The following is a 25,649-nucleotide window of genomic DNA, read 5'->3' on the forward strand; positions in this document are numbered from 1 at the left end:
GCCCCAGCCTGTCGCACTCGCTGCACCTGCGGAATGTCCCTACTGCTAGTTTCGGGCGCAGTTTCTCGATCCACCATTAGGGGGAAGGGAGCCCAGACCACTTGACAGCGAATACTCGATAACAAATCTCACTTTGATTCAGTGCTTTGCACATGCCAGGGCTTTTACTCACCTCTCGAGTCGTCTTTGCCAAAACCCTATAAGGTAGGTGGTACTGGCGTTCGCACTTTGCAGATAAGGAAGCGGAGGTTAAGTCATTCTCCCCAGTCCTGATGACCACTAAGGGGCAAAACAGGGTTTAAAGAGATCTGGGATCCTTAACCATCACTCTATACCCTAGAAAGAATTAATTATCTTTTTTTTTTTTTTTTTTTTGAAACGGAGTTTCGCTGTTGTTGCTCAGGCTGGAGTGCAATGGCGCGATCTCGGCTCACTGCAACCTCCGCCTCCCGGATTCAAACGATTCTTTTGCCTCAGCCTCCCGAGTAGCTGGGATTACAGGCGCCCGCCACCAAACCCAGCTAATTTTTGTATTTTTAGTGGAGACGGGGTTTCACCATGTTGGCCAGGCTGGTCTCGAACTCCTGACCTCGTGATCCGCCCGCCTCAGCCTCCCAAAGTGCTGGGATTATAGGCGTGAGCCATCGCACGCAGCAGTGAGTTTTTTTTTTTTTTTTTTTTTTTTTTTTTTTTTTTTTTTTTTTTTTTTGAGATGGAGTTTCGCTCTTATTGCCCAGGCTGGAGTGCAATGGCACGATCTCAGCTCACCACAACCTCCGCCTCCCGGGTTCAAGCAATGCTCCCGCCTCAGCCTCCCAAGTAGCTGAGATTACAGGCGCACACCACCACGCCCGGCTAATTTTTGTATTTTTAGTAGAGACGGGGTTTCACCATGTTGGTTAGGCTGGTCTCAAACTCCTGACCTCGTGATCCGCCCGCCTCGGCCTCCCAAAGTGCTGGGATTACAGGCATGAGCCACCATGCCCGACCGCAGCCGTGAGTTTTGTATTTTTATTAGAGACGGGGGGGGGGGGTTTCACCTGTGGACCAGGCTGGTCTCGAACACCTGACCTCAGATTATCCTCCCGCTTCAGCCTCCCAAAGTGCTGGGATTACAGGCGTGAGTCACCGCGCCCGGCCTGGCCTAATTATTCTTTAATCATCACTTGTCACCCAAGGGTCCTCAGGAGGGGGTCTTGTTATTATCATCATCCTTTATCCAAAGATACAGCATTGGCCGGTCTCGGTGGCTTAGGCCTCTAATTCTAGCAATTTGAGAGGCCGAGATGGGAGGATCGCTTGGGGTCAGGAGTTTGAGACCGGCCTGGGCAATATAGCAAGACACCCAACTCTACAAATAATAATAATAATTATTATTATTTTTTTTAAAAAGGAAAGAAAACAAAGATACAGTCGTGAGGGCATATTTAGTTCACGCCCAGCCTCTGCCTAGACAGGTGTGCTGGAACAGGTGTGCCCCAGACAAATGAGTCTCTTCTAAGAGGCTCCCCAGCAGAGGTTTTCATTTACAGTTGTTCCTTGCAGGTGCCATACAGCATGGAGTGATACAGAGGTTTTTTTCCATGTAAGTGCCCCTAAATAGGTGTTTTCTCACAGATACATTCTTGACAGGTGGGCCTCAGTGTATGTGAGCCCCTGCCCTGATGGTTTTACCCACAGATGTGTGTCAATGTGAGTGTGCCCCGTGCAGATGTTCCAAGTTCTTCCCCTCACTTGAGCTCAATTCCATACAGGTGTTCCTCCTACAAGGTGCTTTCTCTTACCTCACAGGTATGTTTCTGAGCAGGTTTCCCTCCACCCATGAATGCATTCTACAGTCTCCCGCCCCGTAGGTGTGTTTCAGTTAAGTATACACCCATCTGGGTATGTTTCCATACAACCGAGTCCCATACAGGTTTACGTAAATGCAGGTGTGTCTCATACAGGTATTTACAAGACACTGACACCCAGGAATTCCCCCAATGCAAGTGCCGTACATTTCATAGGTGAGCCATGCAGATATGTTCCTAAAACAGGTCTATTCCACATCAGAGTGCCTTAGTTAGCTGTTTGTGATGATAATGCAGGCGTGTTCTATAGAGATACTGTCCACCCTGGTGGTATGTATCCATTTGGTTATATTTCTTTTCTTTTTTTGACAGTCTTGCTCTGTCACCCAGGCTAGAGTGCAGTGGCGTGATCTCGGCTCACTGCAACCTCCGCCTCCAGGGTTCAAGCGATTCTCCTGCCTCAGCCTCCCAAGTAGCTAGGATTACAGGCGCCCACCACTACGCTAGCTAATTTTTGATTATTTTTTAGTAGAGACGGGGATTTCACCATCTTGGCTAGGCTGGTCTCGAACTCGTGACCTCGTGATCCACCTGCCTCGGCCTCCCAAAGTGCTAGGATTACAGGCGTGGGCCACCATGCCCAGCCTTGGCTATATTTCGTATAGCTGTGATTCAATGCAGATTTTTTTTTTTTTTTATGAGATGGAGTTTCACTCTTGTCACCCAGGGTGGAGTGCAATGGTGCAATCTCGGCTCACTGCAATCTCTGTCTCCTGAGTTCAAGCAATTCTCCTGCCTCAGCGCCCCCCGAGTAGCTGAGATTACAGGCACCTGCCACCACACCCGGCTAATTTTTGTATTTTTAGTAGAGACAAGGTTTCACCATGTTGGGCAGGCTGGTCTGGTTTCGAACTCCTGACGTCAGGTGATCCTCCTGCCTAGGCCTCCCAAAGTACTGGGATTACAGGCGTGAGCCGCCGCACCCGGCCATCTGTTTTCTGTATGTTCTTATATGTGAACACCTGTGCAGTTGTCTTCTGTACAGGTTTGGTTCCACACAGGTGTTTACCATACAGCTGTTTTTTTGTTTTTAAAATTTTTTTAGAGACAGGGTCTCACTTTGTCACCCAGGCTGGAGTACAGTGGTACAATCATAGCTCACTCACTGTTACCTCCACTCCTGGGCCCAATCGATCCTCCCACCTCAGCCTCCCAAGTAGCTGGGGCTACAGGTGCGTGCCATCACATCTGGCTAATTTTCTTATTTTTTGTAAATATGGGGCCTCCGTCTGTGGGCCAGGCTGATCTCGAACTCCTGGCCTCAAGTGATTCTCTTACTTCGGCCTTTCAAAGCGCTGGGATTACAGGATCACGCCACCGCCCCCGGCTTATTTTCTTCTTTTTATTTATTTGTTTATTTATTTATTTATTTTTTGTAGAGAATGAGGCCTCGCTGTGTTGCCCAGGCTGGTCTCGGACTCCTGGCCTCAAGCAATCCTCTTGCCTCGGCCTCTCAAAGTGTTGGGATTACAGGCGTGAGCCATTGCGCCTGGGCAGGTATTTTTTCTCATTAAGCGCTCCCCATCCAAGTCTGCCCTAGGCAGGAGTGCCTAGTGCACGGGTACATACATACCCCGTGCGTCTCCACACCTGTGCGCTCCCACAGATATGCTCGCAATGCAGGTGTAAGGTCCCCCTCACACCTGCGCGCTTCCGCGGTCTCCCTCCCCGCATCCCCATTAAGGGACTGGGGTCCCGTTACAGGTGCGCCCACAGCGCGGCCCCGCCCCCTTCTTGACTCCGCCCTCTCAGCGAGGCTCAGGTGCACAAGCCGGAAGTGCGCTCTCCCAGGTGAGTGACTAAACTTTCCGGGTCACGTGACAGGGCGGAGCCGGTGGGGTCGGACCCACAGAACGACCGACGGACCGAGGGTTCGAGGGAGGGACACGGACCAGGAACCTGAGCTAGGTCAAAGACGCCCGGGCCAGGTAGGAAGGCAGGACGCACCGCTAGGCCTGCCCCCTCGCCCGTCCACCCTGCCCGTCCCGTCCCGTCCCGTCCCGTCCCCTTCCTTTCCCCAGCCCAGGAACGCGCTCCTGGGAGTTAATCTTTAATCGCTGACCTCTGGCGGCTGGGGCGGGGCGGGACTCATGGGTGCCCTGGCGCCAGTTGTCTCTCCTGTGGGCCTGCGCCGGGGTCCCCACCCCGATCCCAACGCCTGGGCCTCTCCTTCTCCTGTCCCCAGGTGCCCCGTCGCAGGTGCCCCTGGCCGGAGATGCGGTAGGAGGGGCGAGCGCGAGAAGCCCCTTCCTCGGCGCTGCCAACCCGCCACCCAGCCCATGGCGAACCCCGGGCTGGGGCTGCTTCTGGCGCTGGGCCTGCCGTTCCTGCTGGCCCGCTGGGGCCGAGCCTGGGGGCAAAGTAGGTACCAGCTGAGAGCGCTGGGGGGGAGGGGTCTGGATTCCTGGATCTCTGCTGGGGACGTGGCTTAGAAGCGCTGGGTATCTGGGGCGCAGAGAGGGTCAAGAATTGGGGAGCGGGGAAGAAATACCTTGGGGAGGGGTCTACAGGGTTAGGGCTCGGGGGGATTAAGATTTCTAGTTTCTTCCTTGGACACTGGGAGTTGGTCTAGGAGACCTGAGTTCCCCAGCGAGGTGGAATTGTGTGTTGGAGTGGGGGCTCCTAAGTAGGACTTGGGGGGAGGTAAGGGCTGCGTACCTGAGTCTTGGTATAGTGCAGGTGTTTTTGGGTGAACTGGGAGCTGGGAGGAGGCCTGCCGAGCCGGGTCGACCTGGTTGGCTGAAGGTGTAGACCCCAGCCATTCAGTCTTAGATTTGTTTTGGGAGCCTGTGGGGAGGTGTGAGTCAGACACTCCAGGGAAAAGCTAGGCCCGCCCAGATCCTTAAGGGCCCAGGGCCGAGAGGTGAGTAGGGGAGGGGTGGACTTCTGGACACCCTACTGGGCTCTGCGGGACTGGGTCGGGGGGGTGTCCTGGGGAGCAAACACCCAAGGGAGAGGTCTTACCTGCAAGACACCCAACCATCTCTGTGCGAATGAAAGGCAGAGTTTGAATTGGGACCTGCTAGGGGGAGGTGAAGGGGAATGCCCAAAGCAGGTGCAGATGGGCGGGGATGGGAGAGAAAGATGGAGACTGAGTTATTCTCTGCCTTCACCCTCCACAGTACAGACCACTTCTGCAAATGAGAATAGCACTGTTTTGCCTTCATCCACCAGCTCCAGCTCCGATGGCAACCTGGTGAGTTGGAGGTATATGTGGGAAGATGGCAGCAAGGATGTTATCTAGGGGTCACACATATAGCATGTAGAGAGGACTAGACACCCCCTCCCCCCAGAGGTGGCAGGTCAGGGTGGCTTTGGAGAGCTCTAAGTAGGAGAGACCTGAAGTCTTAGACCAAGAAGACTAGGACACCCTGGAGGGAGTGGGCAGGAATACTGTAGCTGTCAGATGTGTGGGCTCAGGAATTCCATATGCCTCTCAGGTGGGTGGGGGAGCAAGGAGCTCAGACTTGGTAGATGTGATGAAAGCAGGAGTCCCGGCCGGGCGCGGTGGCTCACGCCTGTAATCCTAACACCTTGGGAGGCCGAGGCAGGAAAATCATGAGGTCAGGAGTTTGAAACCAGCACGGCCAACATGGTGAAACCCTGTCTCTACTAAAAATACAAAAAATTAGCCAGGCGGGGTGGCACACACCTGTAATCCCAGCTACTTGGGAGGCTGAGGCAGGGGGAATTGCTTGAGCCCAGAAGGCGGAGGTTGCAGTGAGCCGAGATTGTGACACTGCACTCCAGCCTGGGCAACAGAGCAAGACTCGGTCTCAAAAAAAAAAGCCGGAGTCCCAGACATGGCAGGTGCTTGCGAGGGGTGTCCCGGACATGGCAGGTGGTGGGGAGCCTTCGCACCCCAGACAAGGTAGGTAGGGATCCAGGAAGCCCCACTGTGGGGATCAGATCACCAAAAGTGGCAGATGTGTGTATGTGTGTGTGTGTGTTGTGGGGTAGGGGGTGATGAGGGGGATGCCATTCAGGTGGAGGTGGACAGGCTACCCAGGCTCAGGTGATTCACACCTGTCCCCTCTCTGCAGCGTCCAGAAGCCATCACTGCTATCATCGTGGTCTTCTCCCTCTTGGCTGCCTTGCTCCTGGCTGTGGGGCTGGCACTGTTGGTGCGGAAGCTTCGGGAGAAGCGGCAGACGGAGGGCACCTACCGGCCCAGTAGCGAGGAGCAGGTGGGTGCCCGCGTGCCACCGACCCCCAACCTCAAGTTGCCGCCGGAAGAGCGGCTCATCTGAACGCTGGGGCCTGCTGCAGCCACCAACACTGCCCAGGACTGCGGGTTGCTGGCTTGTACACCGCAGCTGCCACCGAGACACCAGCCTCTGATGGCTCAGGAGGACTTGTGGGGAGAGGCTGGGGGCACCCATGTGGTGGGCTCTGTGCAGCATGTTGCCTCTGCTTGGCTGTGCCTGCAGCTCAGGGTGCTGGGGCTCGGGACCCACCCCCCTGCTTGCGGAACCAACTTTTCTCTGTGTGTCCAGCAGGCCCCACAACCCCCTCTCCTTTCTTTCAGTTCTCCCATGCAGCCGAGGCCCGGGCCCCTCAGGACTCCAAGGAGACGGTGCAGGGCTGCCTGCCCATCTAGGTCCCCTCTCCTGCATCTGTCTCCCTTCATTGCTGTGTGACCTTGGGGAAAGGCAGTGCCCTCTCTGGGCAGTCAGATCCACCCAGTGCTTAATAGCAGGGAAGAAGGTACTTCAAAGACTCTGCCCCTGAGGTCAAGAGAGGATGGGGCTATTCACTTTTATATATTTATATAAAATTAGTAGTGAGATGTAACAAAAGCTTTATTGGTGTGTTTGAGCTGGTGGGTGCATTAGCTGAGATGGAAGTGACAAATGCCGAGAGGAATTGTAAGGTTGCCAGGATTCTAGAAGACCAGGAGGCTTCCTGGAATTCCCTGCTAGGAGCCAGTTAGAGAGGCTGCCCTTGGAGGGACAGAGGTGGGTGGGATGGATTTCCGAGCAGAGTGAGGGCACCAGAGAAATTCACCAGGAAAAAAACCAGCTTTTTTGGGCTCTTGTGGCTTTATTGAGGGACTGGGGTCTCTCTTGGACCCCTGATTCTTAACCCTCAAAGCACTTCTTAAGATCAGCGACTCTGGGCCGGCTGCTGGGCTGGGACTTTTGACAGTTGCTGGTGGGTGTAGCAGGGGAATTCAGGGCTCCTGGTTCCTCCCGTGGCTGGAGGTGAGCGCGCTCTGCCAGCAGGGCTTTGGGAGGCCGGGCTCTGGGGTCCTCCAGAGAACTGGGGTCTGAGGAAGGATCAAGGGGCTGGGACGTCCAGGCTATATCAAAGTTGGGCTTTGTGGGGGCCAGAATTTGGGGGCTTTCTGGAGGGCTGGGCTCAGTGGGTGCAGTGGAGAGCCAGGGAGTGGGGTTTTCCTGGGCTGTAGAATCTTCAGCTGCCTTGTGGGAAGGGGTGAGATGAAGAATTAGGGGCTCTGTGAGAGGAGAGGGTTTGGGGTCCCCCCAGATGCTTGGGTCTGCAGAAGCTGTTGAGGACTGGGATGGAGACGTGACTTCTTGGTCGGACTCTGAGGGTATCAGCTGGGACCTGGAGTCCTTTGAAGAGCTGGTGGCATCCAAAGACGAGGCATTTTGCAGGGATGGCAGGGAAAGGGGCTGGGGCTCCGGCTCTGGTAGTTTCTTATCGTCTGGTTGCCATCTTGGTATGTTGGGCTAGGTGAGATGGATAGGGAAGTTGTGGCTTTTAGATGGCAGAGGGGCTGGCAAGTTGGATGGACCATTAGGGGAAGACTTGGGGTAGGGTTGGGGGAGTGGGCGAGGCTCTCACCAGGCTGAAGCAGCTGTCCAGGTCTCCTCTGTGACAGCAGTCTAAACTCTGGCTCGGTCTCAGGCTGCCTGCGCTCTTGGCTCCCATGCTAAGACTGTCCAGAATCTCGCTCAACAAATCCAGTTCTTCTCCAGACCCCAAGAAGCTGCTGTCCAGAGCTTCTTCTGCCCACGGGCACCCCTCATCCTCAGGGCTCAGTGGGGGTGTCCTGGGTGAGGATGGGCAGCCTCAGATATTTGCCCAAGACCCCCAGCCCTGGTCAGGCTGCTCTGGAGTTTGGGAACCCTCCTCCCCATCAGTCCTGGCCTCCCACTTTCAACACTGCTGTTCCCTTTTTGCCTTACCCCGCCCCTGGGGGCTCGGAAGTTCCCTCTTCCAGCTGGCGTCTCCTGCTGGGGCGAAGGGGCCGGTTCTGCAAAGGGTGGGGGCGATAGGACCTCAGGAGACTGCAGAATCGGGGGGCTGAGGCTTGCTGGAGAAGGGTGAGTGTGAAGTGGGTGCCACATATTTGGGGAGTTGAAGAAGGAGGTGAGATGTCTGGATGGGGACTGGGATGGGTAGAGGATTCAGTGATAATTCCAGGTGTGTGCATGGGGGGAGGGGCGCTCTCACCTTTCCAAAGTGCTGAGTGATTGGGAGGCGTTGCTGCAGGCGGTCTGAGCGGCTGGGGAGGGCTGGGGCCCTCAGAGAGCCCCCCCTCTGCAGGACAGAGTCCCCATCCTAGGAAGAGAAGAGTGAACTGGGAACCTCTGCCACAGAGTCTCCCCACCACCCCCTACCATTGGTCTTTAGTTAGTCTTTTTTTTTTTTTGTTTGAAATGAAGCTTCACTCATGTTGCCCAGGCTGGAGTGCAGTGGTGCCATCTCGGCTCACTGCAACCTCTGACTCCCAGGTTCAAGCGATTCTCATGCCTCAGCTTCCCAAGTAGCTGGGATTACAGGCGTGCGCCACCATACCCAGCTAATTCTGTATTTTTAGTAGAGATGGGGTTTCACCATGTTGGTCGGGCTGGTCTAGAACTCCTGACCTCAAGTGATCCACCCTCCTCGGCCTCCCAAAGTGCTGGGGTTACAGGCGTGAGCCACCGTGCCCAGCCACAGTCTTCTTTTTTTTGAGACAGGGTCTCTCTGTCACCCAGGCTGGTGTACAGTGGCGCTATCTCAGCTTACTGCAACCTCCGCCTTCTAGACTCAAGCAATCCATATTCAGATAATTTTTAACTATTTTTTTGTAGAGACAAGGCCCCACTATATTGCCCAAGCTGGTCTCAAACTCCTGGGCTCAAGCAATCCTCCTGCCTCGGCCTCCCAAAGTGCTGGGATTACAGGGGTGAGCCACTGCACCCGGCCAGTTGATCTTACCTTATACATTAGAAGGCTCTGCACCCCCTTCAAGCCACTCTTGGCCTATAAAGGAGTGGACAGAGAATTACCCAAGGGTGGTGGGATCCTGGGCATTTGAGAGCTCAGCCTTCTGTCCCCTAAGATAGCTTTTTTTTTTGCCATCTGCATGTCTCAAATACGTTCACCACCCCCCATACACCACCTAAGAAGTCAATGCAAACTTTCACCCCTTTGACTAATATAAAATGAGTATTCCTGGAGGCAGTCATCCCCAAAGAAAATGGGGAGTGGCAAAGCAACAGGGCAAGGTGTTCCTGTTTCAAAGCGGTGAAGAACAAAATCGCACGGACAATTTTGAGCTGCAAAAATTGGCCCCAGGAAACTTCTGAGCTTGGGAGATAAAAGGCAGAACCTGGAATTGTAGCATCCAAGGACAAAAAGAATGTTTGCCAGCAAATCTTGGCTGTCAATTTTAAAGGGGCCGTGGGCGGGGCGGAGGGGGGCGGGTAGGATTCCAACAAAAAATGAGTATAATAAATAAAAAATAAAAGGGGGAAGAGTTGTTAATGGTTTAACTGCTGGTTCAGTTCTGATTAAATCATTTGTGTTTAAAGTGTCTGCCAGGGTCAAAATACTCCATCCTTGGGAGGTCAAAGTGTCCTCTGTCCCCTCCCCCTCGTCACCCCAGCAAGAGTGGCCTGTCCAGCTCAGCCTCACCGAGCGGTACATGTTCTTGACGGCTGGTTGGGTCTTGGCCTTGACTGAGTGCAGGAGGGCGCCACCACCTTTCTGCGGGAGAGAAGATACCAAGGGGGAGAGGCTAGGGCCAGATCCCACCTCCCCATCCCAGGTTGTGTGATGCCAATCAAGCCCCTTTCCCTCTCTGAGTCTCCATTTTTTCACCTCTATAAATGAACATGATCGTAGTCATGACCCTACCTGGTGACTTGCGGAGTTAAATTAATCCAATGAGACACACTTAAGTGTTTTGTTTTTGTTTTTGTTTTTTTTGAGATGGAGTCTCAAAGAACAGTTTTTTTTTGTTTTTTTTTTTTTTTTGCTGAGATGCAGTCTTGCTCTGTTACCCAGGCTGGAATGTAGTGGTGCCATCTCGGCTCACTGCAACCTCCACCTCCCTGGTTCAAGCGATTCTCCTGCCTCAGCTTCCCGAGTAGCTGGGACTACAGGCGCCTGCCACCACACCCGGCTAATTTTTGTATTTTTAGTAGAGAGAGAGTTTCACCATGTTGGCCAGGATGGTCTCGATCTCCTGACCTTGTGATCCGCCCGCCTCAGCCTCAAACTCCTGACCTCAGGCAATTCGCCTGCCTCAGCCTCCCAAAGTGCTGGGATTACAGGCATGAGCCACCGTGCCCAGGCAACAAAGTGGTTTTTGAGACAGGGTCTTGCTCTGTCACCCAGGCTGGAGTGCAGTGGCATGATCTCGGCTCACTACAACCTCCACCTCCTGGGGCTCAAGCCATCCTTCCACCTTAGCCTCCCGAGTAGCTGGGACTACAGCTACACCTAGCGAATTTTTTTTTTTTCAGTAGAGATGGGGTTTCGTCACGTTGCCCTAACCGGTCTCAAACTTCTGGTCGCAGCAATCCTTCTATCTCCACCTCCTAATGTGTTGGGATTACAGGCCTAAGCCAACGCCCACGGCCTATTGTTCTGGTGGTCTTACCTTTAGATTGTCGGCCCAGAGCTGATAGGATCGAAGGGCCCCTGGGGTAAGGAGAGAGTGTGGTGGTCACCGAAGGCTGGCTGAGGCTGGGGGTGCTGGTGGCGGGTAGTGGGGGACCCAGGGGCTGGACTCAGGGCTCACCTGAGGAGGCCCCGCAGCCAGTGATCTCCTGCTCGAATTGATCTGAGAAGCCCTCCCCCTTGTTGAGCTTCTCCAGCCGGGCTTCGATGAACTGGGGTGGGGGACAGTAAATCAGAAACAGCAGGAGACACATCTGAATGCCAGCACTTCGAAGCCTGCCTGCTGTCAAGATGTAGAAGCCATCTCTGGCCTCCAACCTGCCCACCCCCAAGCACCTGGGAAACTGGAGCCCACTTTATTTTTTATTTTTATTTTTTGAGATGGAGTTGCTCTGGCACCCAGGCTGGAGTGCAGTGGCGTGATCTCGGCTCGCTGCAACCTCCGCTTCCCGGGTTTAAGTGATTCTCCTGCCTCAGCCTCCCAAGTAGCTGGGATTACAGGCATGCACCACCATGCCCAGCTAACTTTTATATTGTTTGTAGAGACAGGGTTTCCCCATGTTGGCCAGGCTGGTTTCGAACTCCTGACCTCAGGTGATCCGTCTGCCTTGGGCTCCCAAAATGCTGGGATTACAGGCGTAAGCCACTGTCCCCGGCCCGGAGCCCACTTTAGAAACCAGAGATCCTACCTTCTCCTCCCTCCCCGAGTCAGGACCTGTCCCCAGGGACCAAGCCCTGCCCCTTTCAGGGACCCAGAAATTGATTTCTGCCCCCTCTAGAACTACCCACCCGCTCTCATTGAATCAAGAGTAGGTGGACCCCATCTTTAGGGATCTTGTGGTCCAAGCTACCTTCTCCCAGGGGCCTAGAAGTCCAGCCCTATGTGCCACCCCGCCCCCCCACCCATATCCCTAGGACTCAGGAAATCCTGGGATTTCACAGTCAGGACCCATCCCCTCTGGAGTCCAGCTTGGACCGCCACCCCAGTCCCAGAAAGACACCTGCTTAGGGACCTGCGAATTTGGTCCCACCCTGATTTCCCTCAGGGACCTAGGAGTAGGTCTTGTCCCCCAGGAACCCAGGAGTTGGGGGCTCCCATGTTTTTGTTTTGTTTTGTTTTGTTTGAGACGGAGTCTCGCTCTATTATCCAGGCTGGAGTGCAGTGGTGTGATCTCAGCTCACTGCAACGTCTGCCTCCCGGGTTCAAACGATTCTCCTGCCTCAGCCTCCTGAGTAGCTGGGATTATAGGCGCACGCCACCACGCCCAGCTAATTTTCGTATTTTTAGTAGAGATGGGGTTTCACCATATTGGTAGGGCTGGTCTTGAACTCCTGAACTCGTGATCCGCCTGCCTCGGCCTCCCAAAGTGCTGGGATTACAGGCATGAGCCACTGTGCCCAGCCGGGGGCTCCCATCTTTAGGAATCCAGGAGTTCAGTCCTTCCCCACTTGGGAACCCTGGAGTAGGGGATCCTGCTGGACTGTCTCCAGCTATACCCTCAGGGACCCAGGAGTCTGCCCTCAACCCTGCCAGTTCAGACAAGCCCTCGGGGACTCAGCAGTCCACCTCCAGTCCCAGCTGGACCCTCAGGGCTCTGGCATACCTGTTTGAACAGCTGCAGGTGCACAGCCCGCCGGTGGAAGGCCTGCAGAGGTGCCCCAGGCTTCTGGGCCAAGAAGACTTCCTCACTGAAGGTCACTGGCTGGCCCTGGAAGAAGCGTTGGAGTTCTGAGCTCCCTGGGGTGCTCCTGGCCCTCCCTCATTCTACTATATATTTATGTAGCAAACATTGATTAGGCACTTGCTGTGTGTCTGATCCTGTGTGGGGCCTCATGGATGGCAGGGAGGACTTAAGCTGTTTTTTGTTTGTTTGTTTGTTTTGTTTTTTGAGACGGAGTCTCGCTCTGTCGCCAGGCTGGAATGCAGTGGCGTGATCTCAGCTCACTGCAACCTCTGCCTCCAGGGTTCAAGCGATTCTCCTGCCTCAGCCTCTTGAGTAGCTGGGACTACAGGCACGTGCCACCATGTCCAGCTAATTTTTGTATTTTTAGTAGAGACTGGGTTTCACCATGTTGGCCAGGTTGGTCTCCATCTCTTGACCTCGTGATCCACCCACCTCGGCCTCCCAAAGTGCTGGGATTACAGGTGTGAGCCACCGCGCCCAGCCCTGGTTTTTTTTTTTTTTTTTTTCATTTCTTTTTTTGAGTCAGGGTCTCACTCTGTCACCCGTGCTGGAGTGCAGTGGTGTGATCTTGGTTCACTGCAACCTCTGCCTCCTGAGCTCAAGCGATCCTCCCACCTCAGCCTCTCAAGTAGCTGGGACCACAGGTGCACGCCACTGCGCCCAGCTAATTTTTGTAGTTTTTGTAGAGACAGGGTCTCACTGTGTTTCCCAGGCTGGTCCAAACTCCTGGGCTCAAGCAATCCACACACCTTGGCCTCTCAAAAGTGTGAGTCACCGACCCGGCTGATTTAAGCATTTATCTCGAGTAAGGTGGAAGCCCGGGAGGGGTGTGGGCGGGGGGGTGGGGGGAGGGAAATGATCTGACTCGGGTGTTCACAGGTGACCTCTGGCCACTGCAGGGAGGACAGACTCTGGGAGATAAAGCAGAGGGCTGCTTGCAGGAGGCCGGGCGCGGTGGATCACACCTGTAATTTCAGCACTCTGGGAAGAGGAGATGGATGGATCACCTGAGGTCTGGAGTTTGAGACCAGCCTGGCTAACATGGTGAAACCCCATCTGTACTAAAAATACAAAAAATTAGCCATTGTGGTGGTGCATGCCTGTAATCCCAGCTATTCAGGAGGCTGAGGCAGGAGAATTGCTTGAACCCAGGAGGTGGAGGTTGCAGTGAGCCGAGATTGTGCCACTGCACTCCAGCCTGGGCAAGAGAGCAAGACTCTGTCTCAAGAGAAAAAAAAAAAAAAAAGAAGAAGAAGAAGACTGCTTGCGGGGGAGTCCCAGTTTTTGGGAGAGATCAGTGCATTAATTTTAGGCAAACAATGAGAGGGTCCAGGCCAGGGTGGAGACAGAGGAAGTGGGTGGTCTGTGTGCAGATTCAGGATGCAGAGATGACAAAAACGTCAGATGCTCAAGTGATACTAGAACCCCCCAATGATTTTACAGATTGGTTGTGAAAAACAGGGGAGGGGGCTTCAGAGATCAAGGCCCCGGCTTCAACATTCACCCACTGTGGGACTTCTCCAAAGCCTTGGTTTCCTCATATGGAAAATGGGACTATCACAGTATCCATCTCAAAATGTTATGAGCATTAAATGAGATAATAGCAGTGGTAGGAGCTAGCATTTATTGAGTGCTTGCTGTATGTCAGGTACGATTCAAAGTGCTGGGAAAATGCTGATTCACTGATTCTAATATCCTTTTGGGTGGCACTATTGGGGTCCCATTTTACAGAGGGGCAAACAGAGGCACAAAGTAAGCACTCCATTAATGCTACCTATCATTATTATTTTTTAATTAAAAAAATATATAGAGACGGTGGCCGGGCATGGTGGCTCACACTTGTAATCCCAGAACTTTAGGAGCCTGATGCGGGCAGATCACCTGAGGTCAGGAGTTCGAGACCAGCCTGGCCAACATGGAGAAACCCCGTTTTTACTAAAACTACAAAAATTAGCTGGGCATGGTGGTGCGCACCTGCAGTCCCAGCTACTTGGGAGTCTGAGGCAGGAGAATCGCTTGAACCCGGGAGGCACTCCAGCCTGGGGAACAGAGTGAAACTCTGTCTCAAAAACAAACAAACAAACAAACAAACAAACAACAACAACAACAAACGGGAGGGGTCTCACTGTGTTGCCCAGGCTGGTCTTGAACTTCTGGGCTCAAGCAATTCTCCCATCTCGGCATCCCAAAGTGTTGGGATTACAGGCGTGAGCCACTGCGTCCGGCCATCTACTGTACCTATCGTTACATTGCGATTCATTCAGGAACCCACGAGACCTCTCCCGCAGCGTCCCCGCTGCTCACCGGGCTGCAGACGAGTGCGTCGCGGTACCCCCCGAAGAGCAGGGCCTGGGCTTTGAGGAAGAGACGGGACACCCCTTCCCCGGGGGCCAGGGCGACCTTCCTGAGCCGGAGCCTCAGCAGGGACACCTGAAGCACAAGGGAGTGGCCCTGAGTGGGCAGGTGTGGGCCCCTCGCCTCCCGGGGCAGGAAGGTGGGAGGGGCGACACTGACCACGTCTGGAGGCAGCGCCTGCACGTCGTTAAAGGTCGTCTCCAAGGTATTGGCGTCCACGTTCAGCACCACGACGTCCTCCAGGGCTTTTTCTCGTACTCTCTGCGGAAAAGCGGGGTCGGCCGCTCAGAGCCCGGGAGTCCTTGGCAGAGGAGGGCATCTGGGGATGTAGAGGAAGGGGGAACCCTCACGTCCCCGTCGTCTGGGTAGATCCACGCTCACCTCGGCGAGACTGGCGTGCACTCCAATGAGGTAGGGCATGGGCGCGCTGCGGACCGAGGGGACGGGGTCATGCAGGCACCGCCCCCAGGGCCTGCCCACAGGCCCTGCCCCTCCCAGCTGCCCTCGCTCACCAGCAGTAGTCCAGCAGGTGTGGGGGCAGCGTGGGGATCAGCACGTGCTCCCAGCGCATGGGGTACAGGAGCGCGCAGGACGCGTGGACGCACGAGGTCAGCTGGGGAGCGATGGCGGGGCGTGGAGTCAGGGCCTGGACCCTCTAGCGCGAGGTCTCTTCCAGCTGCATTTCCCACGTCCCCAGTCTCCTGTTCCCCCTCCCCATCCACTGCTGGATAATGAGTGACAACTCGAACCCCTTTAGAAATCATGTGGAGACCAGGAATTTGGCCACTTACAGTGCTTTAAGCGGGTGAAGCCAGGACTCATACCGTCCTGATCCCTCTCTGTAAGGGGCGCAGTTAATAGGCAACACCCCTGAGTCTTCCCCATGCAGGTAGAGCAAGGACTGAGCCTCCACTGACTCCACCCCGAAAGAGGTGGAGCTATGACGTAGACCGCCCTTGTCCCGCCCCTAGGGGTGGATCCAAGACGTAACCCCACCCAAAGAGGTGGAGCCGGAAGGCAATCATTTGGCCCCGCCCCTAGGGGTGGAGCCAGTCTCCACGTCTGCCTTTGACCCTGGGTTTCAGGGTCCCTGGGAGTATGGGTCTCTAGTTTTTTGCGCCCCTTGTTATCTGAGTCCCTGTGTTCCTAGGTCCCTGGGTATTCGGGTCCCTGGGTCCTCAGATCTCTGAGTCCCTGAGTCCCTGGGTCCCTGGGTCCCTGGATTCCCACGTGTATAAGTCCCTAGTTCTCAGTGTCCCTGAGGGTCCGGAGGGGTGGAGCCAGACGTGTTGCGGCCCATAGTGGGTGGAGCCTGAGCACAGTACTCCCAAAAAGGAGGAGCTGCAGCGCAGCCCCCTCCCACGAGGGCGGGGCCAGAGTTCAACTCTCCAAGACCTTCGAAGGGGCGGGGCCAGGACTTCGCCCTCGGGTCTCGCGCAGTAGGGTTAGAGCCAGGAATCAGCCCCCTTGTCCCGCCCCCCGGGGCGGAGCCAGGCCCTGCTCCCACCCCGGCCCGGCGGACCCCGCCTCACGGTGCTGAGTTTGCTGGCGGTGAGCAGGACTCTTCTCTCGGCCAGGAGCGCCGCGAACAGCCCCACGATGTTCTCGTCAGTCACGGCCACCACCAGCTCCGTTAGGTTCCTCTGAGGATCAGAGAGTCGCTCTGGGCGTGGACGGGCCCCTGGATCTTGCATCCCCGGTCCGGGTTTCGGGACCTGTTCTCACCCCCAGAGACCCCTCCCCACTCACGTTCTCAGGGATGGATGGCAGGCGGCCGGAGTCCGGGGCCACGAAGCAGGAAAGCTGGTGGGGGTATTGGCAGGGGGATCAATCAGTCAGGAGGCTGGCCTCACCTGGACCCCCGACCTTCCAGGGTCCCCGAGCCCCGCTCACCGGCTTGCTATTCCCCCGGGTAGGGGGGGGGATACCCTGCCCGCTGGAGACCGTCACTCCGCTGCCCTGGGGAAGAGGCACGACTCTGTGGTCATGATGGCTGGGACGCAGCCTTCCCATCCACCTAAGGTCCAGCGCCCAGGGAATGGGAGCTACTCACCAGCTCAAGCCCCACTGAGGCCTGGGGCCCAGACAGGGACTGCTGAAACAGATTTTGAAGAAGTTCCTCTGCCTCGGTGACCTGGGTGGGACGTGGAGGGGCGGGGGTGGCTGAGCCAGATGTGGGGATTGGGGATTCCGAGGGCTATGACTAAGGTTGAGTGGTCTGGGAGGAGCCAAGGGCTCAGGTCAGTCCTGGGAGTTTTTTTTTTTCTTTCTTTAAAAGAAATTAATAATAATAATAATAATAATAATAGAGACAAAGTCTCCCTATGTTGCCCAGGCTGGTCTTGAACTCCTGGGCTCAAGGGATCCTGCTGCTTCGGCCTCCCAAAGGGCTACAATTACAGGCGTGAGCCACCGCGCCCGGCTTTTTAAATTTTTTAATTTAAATTTTTCCTTGTAGGCCGGGCGCGGTGGCTCGCGCCTGTAATCCCAACCCTTTGGGAGGCTGAGGCATGCGGATCACCTGAGGCCAGGAGTCCGTGTCCAGCCTGGCCAACATAGTGAAAACACGTCTCTGTTAAAAGTACAAAAAAAAAAAAAAAAATTAGCCGGGCTGGTGGGCCGCGCCTATAGTCCCAGCTACTTGGGAGACTGAGGCGGAAGAATCGCCTGAACCCGGAATGCGGAGGTTGCAGTGAGGCGGAATCGCACCACCGCACTCCAGCCTGGGCGACAGAGGAAGACTCCATCTAAAAGAAATTTTTTTTCTTGAGACAGGGTCTTGCTCTGTCCCCCAGGCTGGAGTGCAGTGCTGCGATCATAGCTCACTATAGCTTCGAACTCCTGGGCTCAGTTGATCCTCCCACCTTGCTCTCCTGAGTAGCTGGGACCACAGGTGTGCACCACCACGCCTGGCTAATTTTTTATTTTTATTTTTTGAGACGGAGTTTCGCTCCTGTTGCCCAAGCTGGAGTGCAATGGCGCGATCTCGGCTCACTGCCACTTCCGCCTCCCGGGTTCAAGCGATTCTCCTGCCGCAGCCTCTGAGCAGCTGGGATTACAGGCGTGTGCCACGACGGCCGGCTAATTTTTTTTTTTTTTTTTTGTATTTTTAGTAGAGACGGGGCTTCACCATGTCGGTCAGGCCGGTCTCGAACTCCTGACCTCAGGTGATCCGCTCGCCTTGTCCTCCCAAAGTGCTGGGATTACAGGCGTGAGCCACAGCACTTGGCCAATTATTTTTTATATTTTGTAGAGACGGGGGTCTCACTATGTTGCCCAGCTGGTCTCGAACTCCAGGGCTCAAGGGATCCTCCCACCTCGGCCTCCCAAAATGCAGGGACTACAGGTGTGACACAGTGTGCCCTGCCAAGCCTGGGAGATCTGAGAGGGAGGGGTTGGGAGGTTGAGGGGGGTGGGGGCTGGGACTCCCACAGGAGTGAGAGAGGGGCTGGTCTCACTTGGTCCTGGGCTAGGAGGTCTCCCACTGTGTTCAATAGCTTGTAAAACACCTCGAACCAAGGCAGGTGGCTGTGGAGAGAGGAGACAGGTTCCACGAAGTGTCCCTAGGCCTCGGCCTTTCCCATCCCCCCCTCCAACCCCCATATCCCGCACCTGAGGATGCAGAGACAGCTCTGGGTACCCGCCCGCAGGCGGCAGAAACCAAATCTGCGGTTGCCGGCAAGGTCTGTGAGGGCGAAGGTGAAATGCTGCACGGCGGGGCTGGGGGGCTCCCTGGAGTGGGAAGGGCTGTTAGAGAGACCTGGACATCCCAGCTGTCTGAGGATGTCCCCGCTCCCCAACAAAGCTCCTAGGACCCTGAGTGTATGGGTCTCTAGTTGTCAGGATCCCTGAATGTCTGGATCCCTGGGTCTCAGAATCCCTGGGTCCCTGAATCTCTGGGTCCCTGGATCTCTGGGTCCCTGAGTCCCTGGGTCCCTGGATCTCTGGGTTTCTGGATCTCTGGGTCCTTGAATCCCTAAGTCCCTGGGTTCCTCAGTCCCTGAGTCCCTGAGTCCCTGAGTCCCTGGTCCCTGAGTTTCTGAGTCTCTGGGTTCCGAAGTCCCTGAATCCTTGTGTCCCTGAGTCCTTGAGTCTCTGAGTCCCTGGGTCCCTGGGTCCCTGGGTTCCTGAGTCCCTAGATCTCTGGGTCCCTGAGTGTCTGAGTCCCTGGATGCTAATGTATATAGGTCCCTAGTTCTCAGGGCCCCTGAGTGTCTGAGTCTCTGAGTCTCAGGGTCCTCGAGTGTATGGGTTTCCAGATGTCTGAGTCTCTAGGTGTTGAGTCCTTGGGGCCCCTGAGAGATCTGAGTCCCTGAGTCCTTGGATCTCCCCGCCCTTCCGTACCTTTCCACATCAAAAGGGAAGCAGAATTTAGGCACCATCTGCATAGCTTCCTGGAGGTGAAGAAAAGCGCAGACTGCTTGGCCACTGAGGTCGGGCACCACCTCCCTGGGCTCCAGGTCCAAGAAACCAAGTCCCCTCCCCCTGGGAGACTGGCCCTCGCCCTGGGGGAGCAAGGAGCCAGCCTGAATACCTGGTCCCTGAAGTCTGGAGGGAACTGCCGCAGGATGGGGGGATCTGTAGAAGAGAGCACGCCTCTAAGTTCAGCGACCCAGGCCCACCCTCCCCTCCCACTCCCTCACTCCCAGGCTCCCAACTCACCCTCCTGCAGGGAGGCAGGGCAGGCCGCTTCGAAGAACCAATCAAACACAGCAGGGGAGCCCCCTCTGTGGGATGCAGAAGGGGTCCAGAGACTTGCTTCTATGCATGTGTGGTTGTGTCTGCCACTTTGCACACAAGTGTGGTTGTGTGTGCATGTGCCACAAGGTGCGTCGGCATGTGCATGACTCTGGGGGTTTGTGGCTGTGAGTGTGTGGTTGTGTGAGGCTGTGTGTGCAGCAGTGTTAATTGAACACACAAGTACAGGATGGAGTGAGAAAGTGTGACTGTGTGTGTGTGGCTGTGTATGATTGTGTGTGGCTGAGTGCATGGCTTTTGTGAGCAGGCAGTGTGTGTGTGATCCTGTCTGCTGTCTGCCTGAAAAGATGAGACTGTCTCCTATATCTGTGGCATGAGACTGCACAGATATGAAGGACAGCCCGTGCAGTCCCAAGCTAAGTGAATTACATCTCTCTCTCTCTATATATATATCCATCTATCTGTCTGTCTGTCTGTCTCTGTCTATCCATCCATCCATCCATCCACCCACCCACCCACCTATCCATCCACCCACCCACCTATCTATCTATCTATCTATCTATCTATCTATCTATCTATCTATCTATCTATCTATTTTTTTGAGATGGAGTTTTGCTTTGTCACCCAGGCTGGAGTACAGTGGCACGATCTTGGCTCACTGCAACCTCCACCCCACAGGTTCAAGCGATTCTCCTGCCTCAGCCTCCCTGTAGCTGGGATTACAGGTGCCCGCCACCACGCCCAGCTAATTTTCATATTTTTAGTAGAGACAGGGTTTCACATACTGGCCAGGCTGTTCTCAAACTCCTGACCTCAGGTGATCTGCCCGCCTCAGCCTCCCAAATTGCTGGGATTACAGGCTTGAGTCACTGCATCTAGCCATGCCATCTATATTTTCTTGTATAGATGTGAGTGTGTGTGCCCGAGCAAGTGAATGACATCTATATTTTCCTGTACAGCTGTGAGTGTCACTGGGTAACCGCGTGGGATCCTTGTGGGCTGGCTGTGTGTCTCTGTGTGTGAGACCCCATAGAACCCTCGTGGCTGGTCCCACATGTCTCATCAGAGAAAGGAGGGCAGGATACCTAGGTACTTACTGTAAGCCCTGCAATCTCTGCTTTCCTCCTCTGCCCCCATATCAAGCAGAAGAGGCAGCCTTGGGCTCAAGGAGAGAGACAGGGAGATCTAGAGGGAGATCAGCTGCACACACACTGTCCCGCCCAGTTGCACACACAGTCCCCACCATGGGTACCCCAGCACTTCACCCTCACGCCGACACAAGTCACACACGATCACCCACTCATACCAACACCCAGCCTCCCCTCTGCCCTGATCATCCGCCCTGTGGACCCCCTGAAGCCATCACTCAGACATACCAAGGACAAAGCTCAGAGGGGTACATGCATTCACAGAGCTATAGACATAATCACAGGAGCTGGATAGAGAGAGAGAGAGAGAGAGAGAGGAGGGGACCGAGAGTGGCCTGTCCCAGAGTGAAGGTCATAGCGGAGGCCCATGGAGTATCTGATTCCAGCCACCTGCCCTGGCAGGTCACTGCACCTCCCGGGCCTGCTCCAGCCCCAGCTCCCCTCTGCCCCGGCTCAGGCCTGGCCCGGGAATCTTGTACCAGAGAATGAGGGATGGGGTGGCTCTTACTCAGCTCTGGATTCCATGGTCCCTGCAGGGCCAGCCCAGCGGGGCCCTCTCCCCAGGGGTCCTGGGGGCCTGTGTATGCTGGGCCCCAAGCCGGCTCAGCTTCCTGTGTGGCTGAGAGAGGAAGTTTAACGGGTGACGTCCCCGGACAGAGGCCCTGCCCCCACCCCCGTGAGAAACCCAGGCATCCTGCCTGCTAATTATGTTGGGGATGGGTGGGCAATAAGTGGTCAGCCTGGGAAGGCAGACCCCCAGCTCCGTCCCCGCCAGGCTGGACTGTGTCTGGTTCCCCCCATCGTGCCTGGGCCCTCATCTCTCCTTCCCCGCTCCGCAGCAGCCAAGATTCACAGTCTGTCTATTAATGAAATGCCTCCCCGTCTCTTTCCCTTGGTCCATTTGGCCTGGACGGTCACTGGTGGACCACCAGAGGGAGCCACCTGTAAAGTGGACGGTGGGGGGGCCAGGGATGGGGACAAAGAGCACGAAGTACAGGCACAGGGACGGACAGACAGACACAGACACAGACAGTTACACGCTCAGGAAGTCATCAGCACAGACAAACCGAGTGCAGAAGAGCCAGAGACGACAGACATGGAGAGATAGGGAGTCCTACAGCTGGATCATAGTCCCAGGCCGGGCACAGTGGCTCACGCCTATAATCCCAGCACTTTGAGAGGCCAAGGTGGGAGGACCGCTTGAGCCCAGGAGTTCGAGACCAGCCTGGGAAACATGGCGAAACCCTGTGTCTATAAAAGCTACAAAAATTATAGCTGGCGGTGGTGGCACGCACCTATAGTCCCAGCTTACCCAGGAGGCTGAGTCAGGAGGATCGCCTGAGCCTGGGGAGTTTGAGGCCATAGTGAACCAAGATTGCACTACTGTACTCCAGCCTGAGCAACAAAGTGAGATCCTGTCTCAAAAAAAAAAAAAAACAACTTAGTCACAGTTACACACCCATTGTGCGCAGAAAGACAAGGTAAGCGGATCACTTGAGGTCAGGAGTTTGCAACCAGCCTGGCCAACATGGTGAAACCCTGTCTCTAATTAAAAAAAAATACAGGCCAGGTGCGGTGGCTCACATCTGTAATCCCAGCACTTTGGGAGGCTGAGGCAGGTGGATCACGAGGTCAGGAGTTCGAGACCAGCCTGGCCAAGATGGTGAAACCCAGTCTCTACTAAAAATACAAAGATTAGCCAGGCACGGTGGTGGGCATCTGTAATCCCAGTTACTCAGGAGGCTGAGGCAGAATTATTTGAACCTGGGAGGCGGAGTTTGCAGTGAGCCGATATCGCGCCGCTGTACTCTAGCCTGGGCGACAGAGCAGGACTCTGTCTCAAAAAATCAAAAACAAACAAACAAACAAAAAATTAGCTGGGCATGGTGGCATGTGCCTGTAATCCCAGCTGCTTGGGAGGCTGAAGCAGGAGAATCACTTGAATCCGGGAGGCAGAGGTTGCAGTGAGCCGAGATCGTGCCACTGCACTCCAGCCTGGGTGAAAGAGTGAGACTCCATCTCAAAAACAAAAACAAAAACAAAGCAAACAAACAAACAAACAAATGCAGAGACAGACAGAGACACAATAAACAGTTACACAGAGACCACAGCCATTGATACAAACAGAATAACAGAGAAATAGACCCAGATAGATGGAAACACAGCACAGACATAGCTCAAGTAATAACCAGATATAGTTATAGCCAAGACCCGGCCACATGCAGAGAGAGACACAGCTGGACTCACATGACAGCCAGATACTCATGACAGCCCGACACACTCAAGCCGTGCTGCAGACTATGAAAGACACAGGGGCTGGAGGCAGTGGCTCAGTAATCCCAGCACCTTGGGAGGCTGAGGTAGGATTGTTTGAGGCCAGGAGTTAAAGATCAGCCTGAGCAATATAACAAGACCCCATCTTTACAAAAATTAAAACTTTAGCCAGGTGCAGTAGTCCCAGCTATTCTGTAGGCTGAGGCGGGAGGATCCCTTGAGCCCAGGTGGTGGGGGTTGTAGTGAGCTGTGATCGTGCCATTGCACTCCAGCCTGGGCAACGGTGTAAGACCCTATCTCCAAACAAACACAGGAACAAACAAAAACAACAAAAAAGACACAGGCACACAGGTGGACAGACGTAGTCATGTTGAGACAGGATATGTGAACATATCTGCAGGCACAAAAACAGAACATGATATAGTCAGGGTCACACCTACACATGAAATCCTGCCAACAGACTCAGACCACTGTGTGGTGTGAAAACACCTCGTGGCCGGGTGCGGTGGCTCACACCTGTAATCCCAGCACTTTGGGAGGCCGAGGTGGGCGGGTCACCTGAGGTCGGGAGTTTGAGACCAGCATGGGCAACTTGGAGAAACCCCGTCTCTACTAAAGATACAAAATTAGCCGGGTGTGGTGGTGACACATACTTGTAATCCTAGCTACTCAGGGGGCTGAGGCAGGAGAATTGCTTGAACATGGGAGGCGGAGGCTGTGGTGAGCCAAGATCGTGCCATTGCACTCCAGCCTGGGCATCAAGAGCAAAACTCCATCAAAAAAAAAAAAAAGAAGAAGAAGAAGAAGACACCTCGTACCCACAGTCACTGGACACATACAGAGTCAGAATCCCGTCAGCCACATCCTCACACAGTCTGATGGACATGTGCTATTGTCCGAATATGTGTCCCTCCAAAATTCGTATGTTGAAACCTAAAGCCCCAAGGCAGTAGTAAGAGGAGCCGAGATTGCGCCATTGCACTCCAGCCTGGGCAACAAGAGTGAAACTCCGTCTCAAAAAAAAAAAAAAAAAATAGGTGAGGCCTCTGGGAGGTGATGAGGTCAAGAGGTATCCACCCTCAACAGTGGGATTAATGCCTTTATAAAAGAGGCTTGAGGCCCAGTGCGGTGGCTCTGGCAGGGTGCAGTGGTTCACACCTGTAATCCTAGCACTCTGGGAGGCTGAGGGGGGTGGATTGCTTGAGGCAGAAGTTTGAGACCAGCCTGGGCAGCATGGTGAAACCCCGTCTCTACAAAAAATACAGAAATTAGCTGGGCATGGTGGTGTGCACCTGTAGTCCCAGCTACTTGGGAGGCTGAGTGGGAGGATTGTTTGAACCCAGGAGGCAGAGGTTGCAGTGAGTGAAGATTGCACCACTGCACTGCAGCATGGGCAGCAGAGAGAGACTCTGTCTCGGGAAAGTAAAAAATAAAAAAATAAAAATAAATAAATAAATAAATAAAAAGAGGTTTGAGCTAGGTGTGGTGATAGCGCCTGTAGTCCCGGCTACTTGGGAGGCTAAGGCGGGAGGATCACTTGAGCCCAGGAGTTCAAGCCTACAGTGAACTTTGATTGCACCACTGCATTCCAGCGAGTGACAGAGCAAGACTCTATGTTAAAAAAAAAAAAAATTAAGGCTGCTATGACAAAATATCTGCAACCTCTGCCTCCCAGGTTCAAGTGATTCTCCTGACTCAGCTTCCCAAGTAGCTGGGACTACAGATCTGTACCACCATGCGTGGCTATGTAGCTAGCTACTTGGGAGGCTGAGGCAGGAGAATCGCTTGAACCTGGGAGTTGTAGTGAGCCAAGATCGTGCTATTGTACTCCAGCCTGGGTGATAAGAGCGAAACTCCATCCCCCTACCCAAAAAAAAAGAGAGATGGGGTCACACTCTGTCACCCAGGCCGACGTGCAGTGGCGCCATCATAGCTCACTGTAGCCTTGACCTCCTGGGCTCAAGTGATCCTCCCACCTCAGCCCCCTGAGTAGCTGGGACTACAGTTGTGTGCTACTGTACACACAACTGTTTTTTTTTTTAAATTTAATTTAATTTTATTTTTGAGACAGGGTCTCACTCTGTCACCCAGGCTGGAGTGCAGTGGCACGATCTTCACTCATTGCAACCTCTGCCTCCTGGGTTCAAGCGATTCTCCTGCCTCAGCCTCCCAAGTAGCTGGGATTATAGGCGTCTGCCACCGCACCCAGCTAATTTTTGTATTTTTAGTAGAGGTGGGGTTTCACCATCTTGGCCAAGCTGGTCTTGGACTCCTGACCTCGTGATCCACTGATCCACCCGCCTCGGCCTCCAAAAGTACTGGGATTACAGCCATGAGCCACCACGCCCGGCCCTTTTTTTTTTTTTTTTTTTTTTTTTGTGAGACGGAGCCTTGCTCTGTCACCCAGGCTGGCTGGAGTACAGTGGCGCAATCATTGCAACCTCTGCCTCCTGGGTTCAAGCAATTCTCCTGCCTCAGCTTCCCGAATAGCTGGGATTACAGGTGACCGCCACCACGCCCGGCTAATTTTTGTGTGTGTGTTTTAGTAGAGATCTGGTTTCCCCATGTTGGCCAGGCTGGTCTTGAACTCCTGACCTCAAGTGATCTGCCCGCCTTGGCCTCCCAAAGTGCTGGGATTACAGGTATGAGCCACCGTGCCTGGTCAGCTCAGCTAATTTTAAAAAATATTTTTGTAGAGATGGGGTTTCGCTTTATTGCCTGGTCTGGTCTTGAACTTCTGGCCTCCAGCAATCCCCAGGCCTCGGTCTTCCAAAGTG

General features: G+C 54.5%; 2 protein-coding genes across 12 annotated transcripts, besides 5 other annotated features; one reads left to right on the top strand and one right to left on the bottom strand.

Annotated features, from left to right (window-relative positions):
• On the top strand, positions 3,205 to 6,649 carry CRB3 (crumbs cell polarity complex component 3). Of its 3 annotated transcripts, NM_174881.4 has the most exons (5): positions 3,699 to 3,778; positions 4,036 to 4,211; positions 4,973 to 5,046; positions 5,894 to 6,037; positions 6,379 to 6,649. In NM_174881.4, exons 2-5 carry the CDS (start codon positions 4,130 to 4,132, stop codon positions 6,448 to 6,450), a joined length of 372 nt encoding a protein of 123 aa, NP_777377.1. In that variant the 5' UTR covers positions 3,699 to 3,778; positions 4,036 to 4,129; the 3' UTR covers positions 6,451 to 6,649. The 3 variants fall into 3 exon arrangements, with proteins under 3 accessions (NP_777378.1, NP_777377.1, NP_631900.1); NM_174882.3 differs by lacking the exon at positions 3,699 to 3,778 and adding an exon at positions 3,205 to 3,641 and having other exon boundaries at positions 5,894 to 6,649; NM_139161.5 differs by having other exon boundaries at positions 5,894 to 6,649.
• Positions 3,566 to 4,107: an enhancer, noted in NCBI's record as "H3K27ac-H3K4me1 hESC enhancer chr19:6464149-6464690 (GRCh37/hg19 assembly coordinates)". NCBI's record gives its function as "activates a minimal SCP1, AML or CMV promoter by ChIP-STARR-seq in primed H9 embryonic stem cells {active_cell/tissue: H9 hESC(primed)}" and the evidence as "EXISTENCE:reporter gene assay evidence [ECO:0000049][PMID:30033119]".
• Positions 3,588 to 3,657: a silencer, noted in NCBI's record as "silent region_9953". NCBI's record gives its function as "represses an Ori minimal core promoter by ATAC-STARR-seq in GM12878 lymphoblastoid cells {active_cell/tissue: GM12878}" and the evidence as "EXISTENCE:reporter gene assay evidence [ECO:0000049][PMID:35858748]".
• On the bottom strand, positions 6,635 to 21,215 carry DENND1C (DENN domain containing 1C). 9 transcript variants are annotated; one of them, XM_006722906.4, is made up of 23 exons: positions 21,107 to 21,215; positions 19,415 to 19,418; positions 19,287 to 19,330; positions 19,097 to 19,146; positions 18,365 to 18,484; positions 18,211 to 18,280; positions 16,806 to 16,886; positions 16,646 to 16,711; positions 16,502 to 16,555; positions 16,285 to 16,395; positions 15,265 to 15,365; positions 15,134 to 15,179; positions 14,912 to 15,013; positions 14,702 to 14,827; positions 12,317 to 12,421; positions 10,834 to 10,924; positions 10,693 to 10,733; positions 9,723 to 9,794; positions 9,024 to 9,068; positions 8,274 to 8,381; positions 8,006 to 8,073; positions 7,662 to 7,869; positions 6,635 to 7,546 (listed from the first exon to the last, which is right to left on the bottom strand). In XM_006722906.4, exons 4-23 carry the CDS (start codon positions 19,138 to 19,140, stop codon positions 6,932 to 6,934), a joined length of 2,274 nt encoding a protein of 757 aa, XP_006722969.1. In that variant the 5' UTR covers positions 19,141 to 19,146; positions 19,287 to 19,330; positions 19,415 to 19,418; positions 21,107 to 21,215; the 3' UTR covers positions 6,635 to 6,931. The 9 variants fall into 9 exon arrangements, with proteins under 9 accessions (XP_006722969.1, NP_079174.2, XP_011526620.1 ...); NM_024898.4 differs by having other exon boundaries at positions 19,415 to 19,479; XM_011528318.3 differs by lacking the exon at positions 19,415 to 19,418.
• Positions 15,023 to 15,762: an enhancer, noted in NCBI's record as "H3K4me1 hESC enhancer chr19:6475606-6476345 (GRCh37/hg19 assembly coordinates)". NCBI's record gives its function as "activates a minimal SCP1, AML or CMV promoter by ChIP-STARR-seq in naive H9 embryonic stem cells {active_cell/tissue: H9 hESC(naive)}" and the evidence as "EXISTENCE:reporter gene assay evidence [ECO:0000049][PMID:30033119]".
• Positions 19,310 to 19,809: an enhancer, noted in NCBI's record as "H3K4me1 hESC enhancer chr19:6479893-6480392 (GRCh37/hg19 assembly coordinates)". NCBI's record gives its function as "activates a minimal SCP1, AML or CMV promoter by ChIP-STARR-seq in naive H9 embryonic stem cells {active_cell/tissue: H9 hESC(naive)}" and the evidence as "EXISTENCE:reporter gene assay evidence [ECO:0000049][PMID:30033119]".
• Positions 21,406 to 21,700: an enhancer, noted in NCBI's record as "tiled region #5032; HepG2 Activating DNase unmatched - State 4:PromP". NCBI's record gives its function as "activates a minimal TATA promoter and a strong SV40 promoter by Sharpr-MPRA in HepG2 cells {active_cell/tissue: HepG2}" and the evidence as "EXISTENCE:reporter gene assay evidence [ECO:0000049][PMID:27701403]".

The sequence above is a fragment of the Homo sapiens genome, chromosome 19 (assembly GCF_000001405.40).
Source record: "Homo sapiens chromosome 19, GRCh38.p14 Primary Assembly".
NCBI lineage: Eukaryota > Metazoa > Chordata > Mammalia > Primates > Hominidae > Homo > Homo sapiens.

Bases quoted from the DNA above. Each gene is read 5' to 3' on its own strand.
- DENND1C (XM_024451727.2), bottom strand. From the start codon at position 19,907: ATGGATATATATATAGAGAGAGAGAGATGTAATTCACTTAGCTTGGGA. The intron at 16,712-16,805 runs GTGAGTAGCTCC...CCTCTTCCCCAG, and splicing joins CCTCAGTGGGGCTTGAGCTG to GGCAGCGGAGTGACGGTCTC. The intron at 10,734-10,833 runs GTGAGCCCTGAG...TCCTTACCCCAG, and splicing joins TGGCTGCGGGGCCTCCTCAG to GGGCCCTTCGATCCTATCAG.
- CRB3 (NM_174881.4), top strand. From the start codon at position 4,130: ATGGCGAACCCCGGGCTGGGGCTGCTTCTGGCGCTGGGCCTGCCGTTC. The intron at 5,047-5,893 runs GTGAGTTGGAGG...CCCTCTCTGCAG, and splicing joins CCAGCTCCGATGGCAACCTG to CGTCCAGAAGCCATCACTGC. The intron at 6,038-6,378 runs GTGGGTGCCCGC...CCTTTCTTTCAG, and splicing joins GGCCCAGTAGCGAGGAGCAG to TTCTCCCATGCAGCCGAGGC.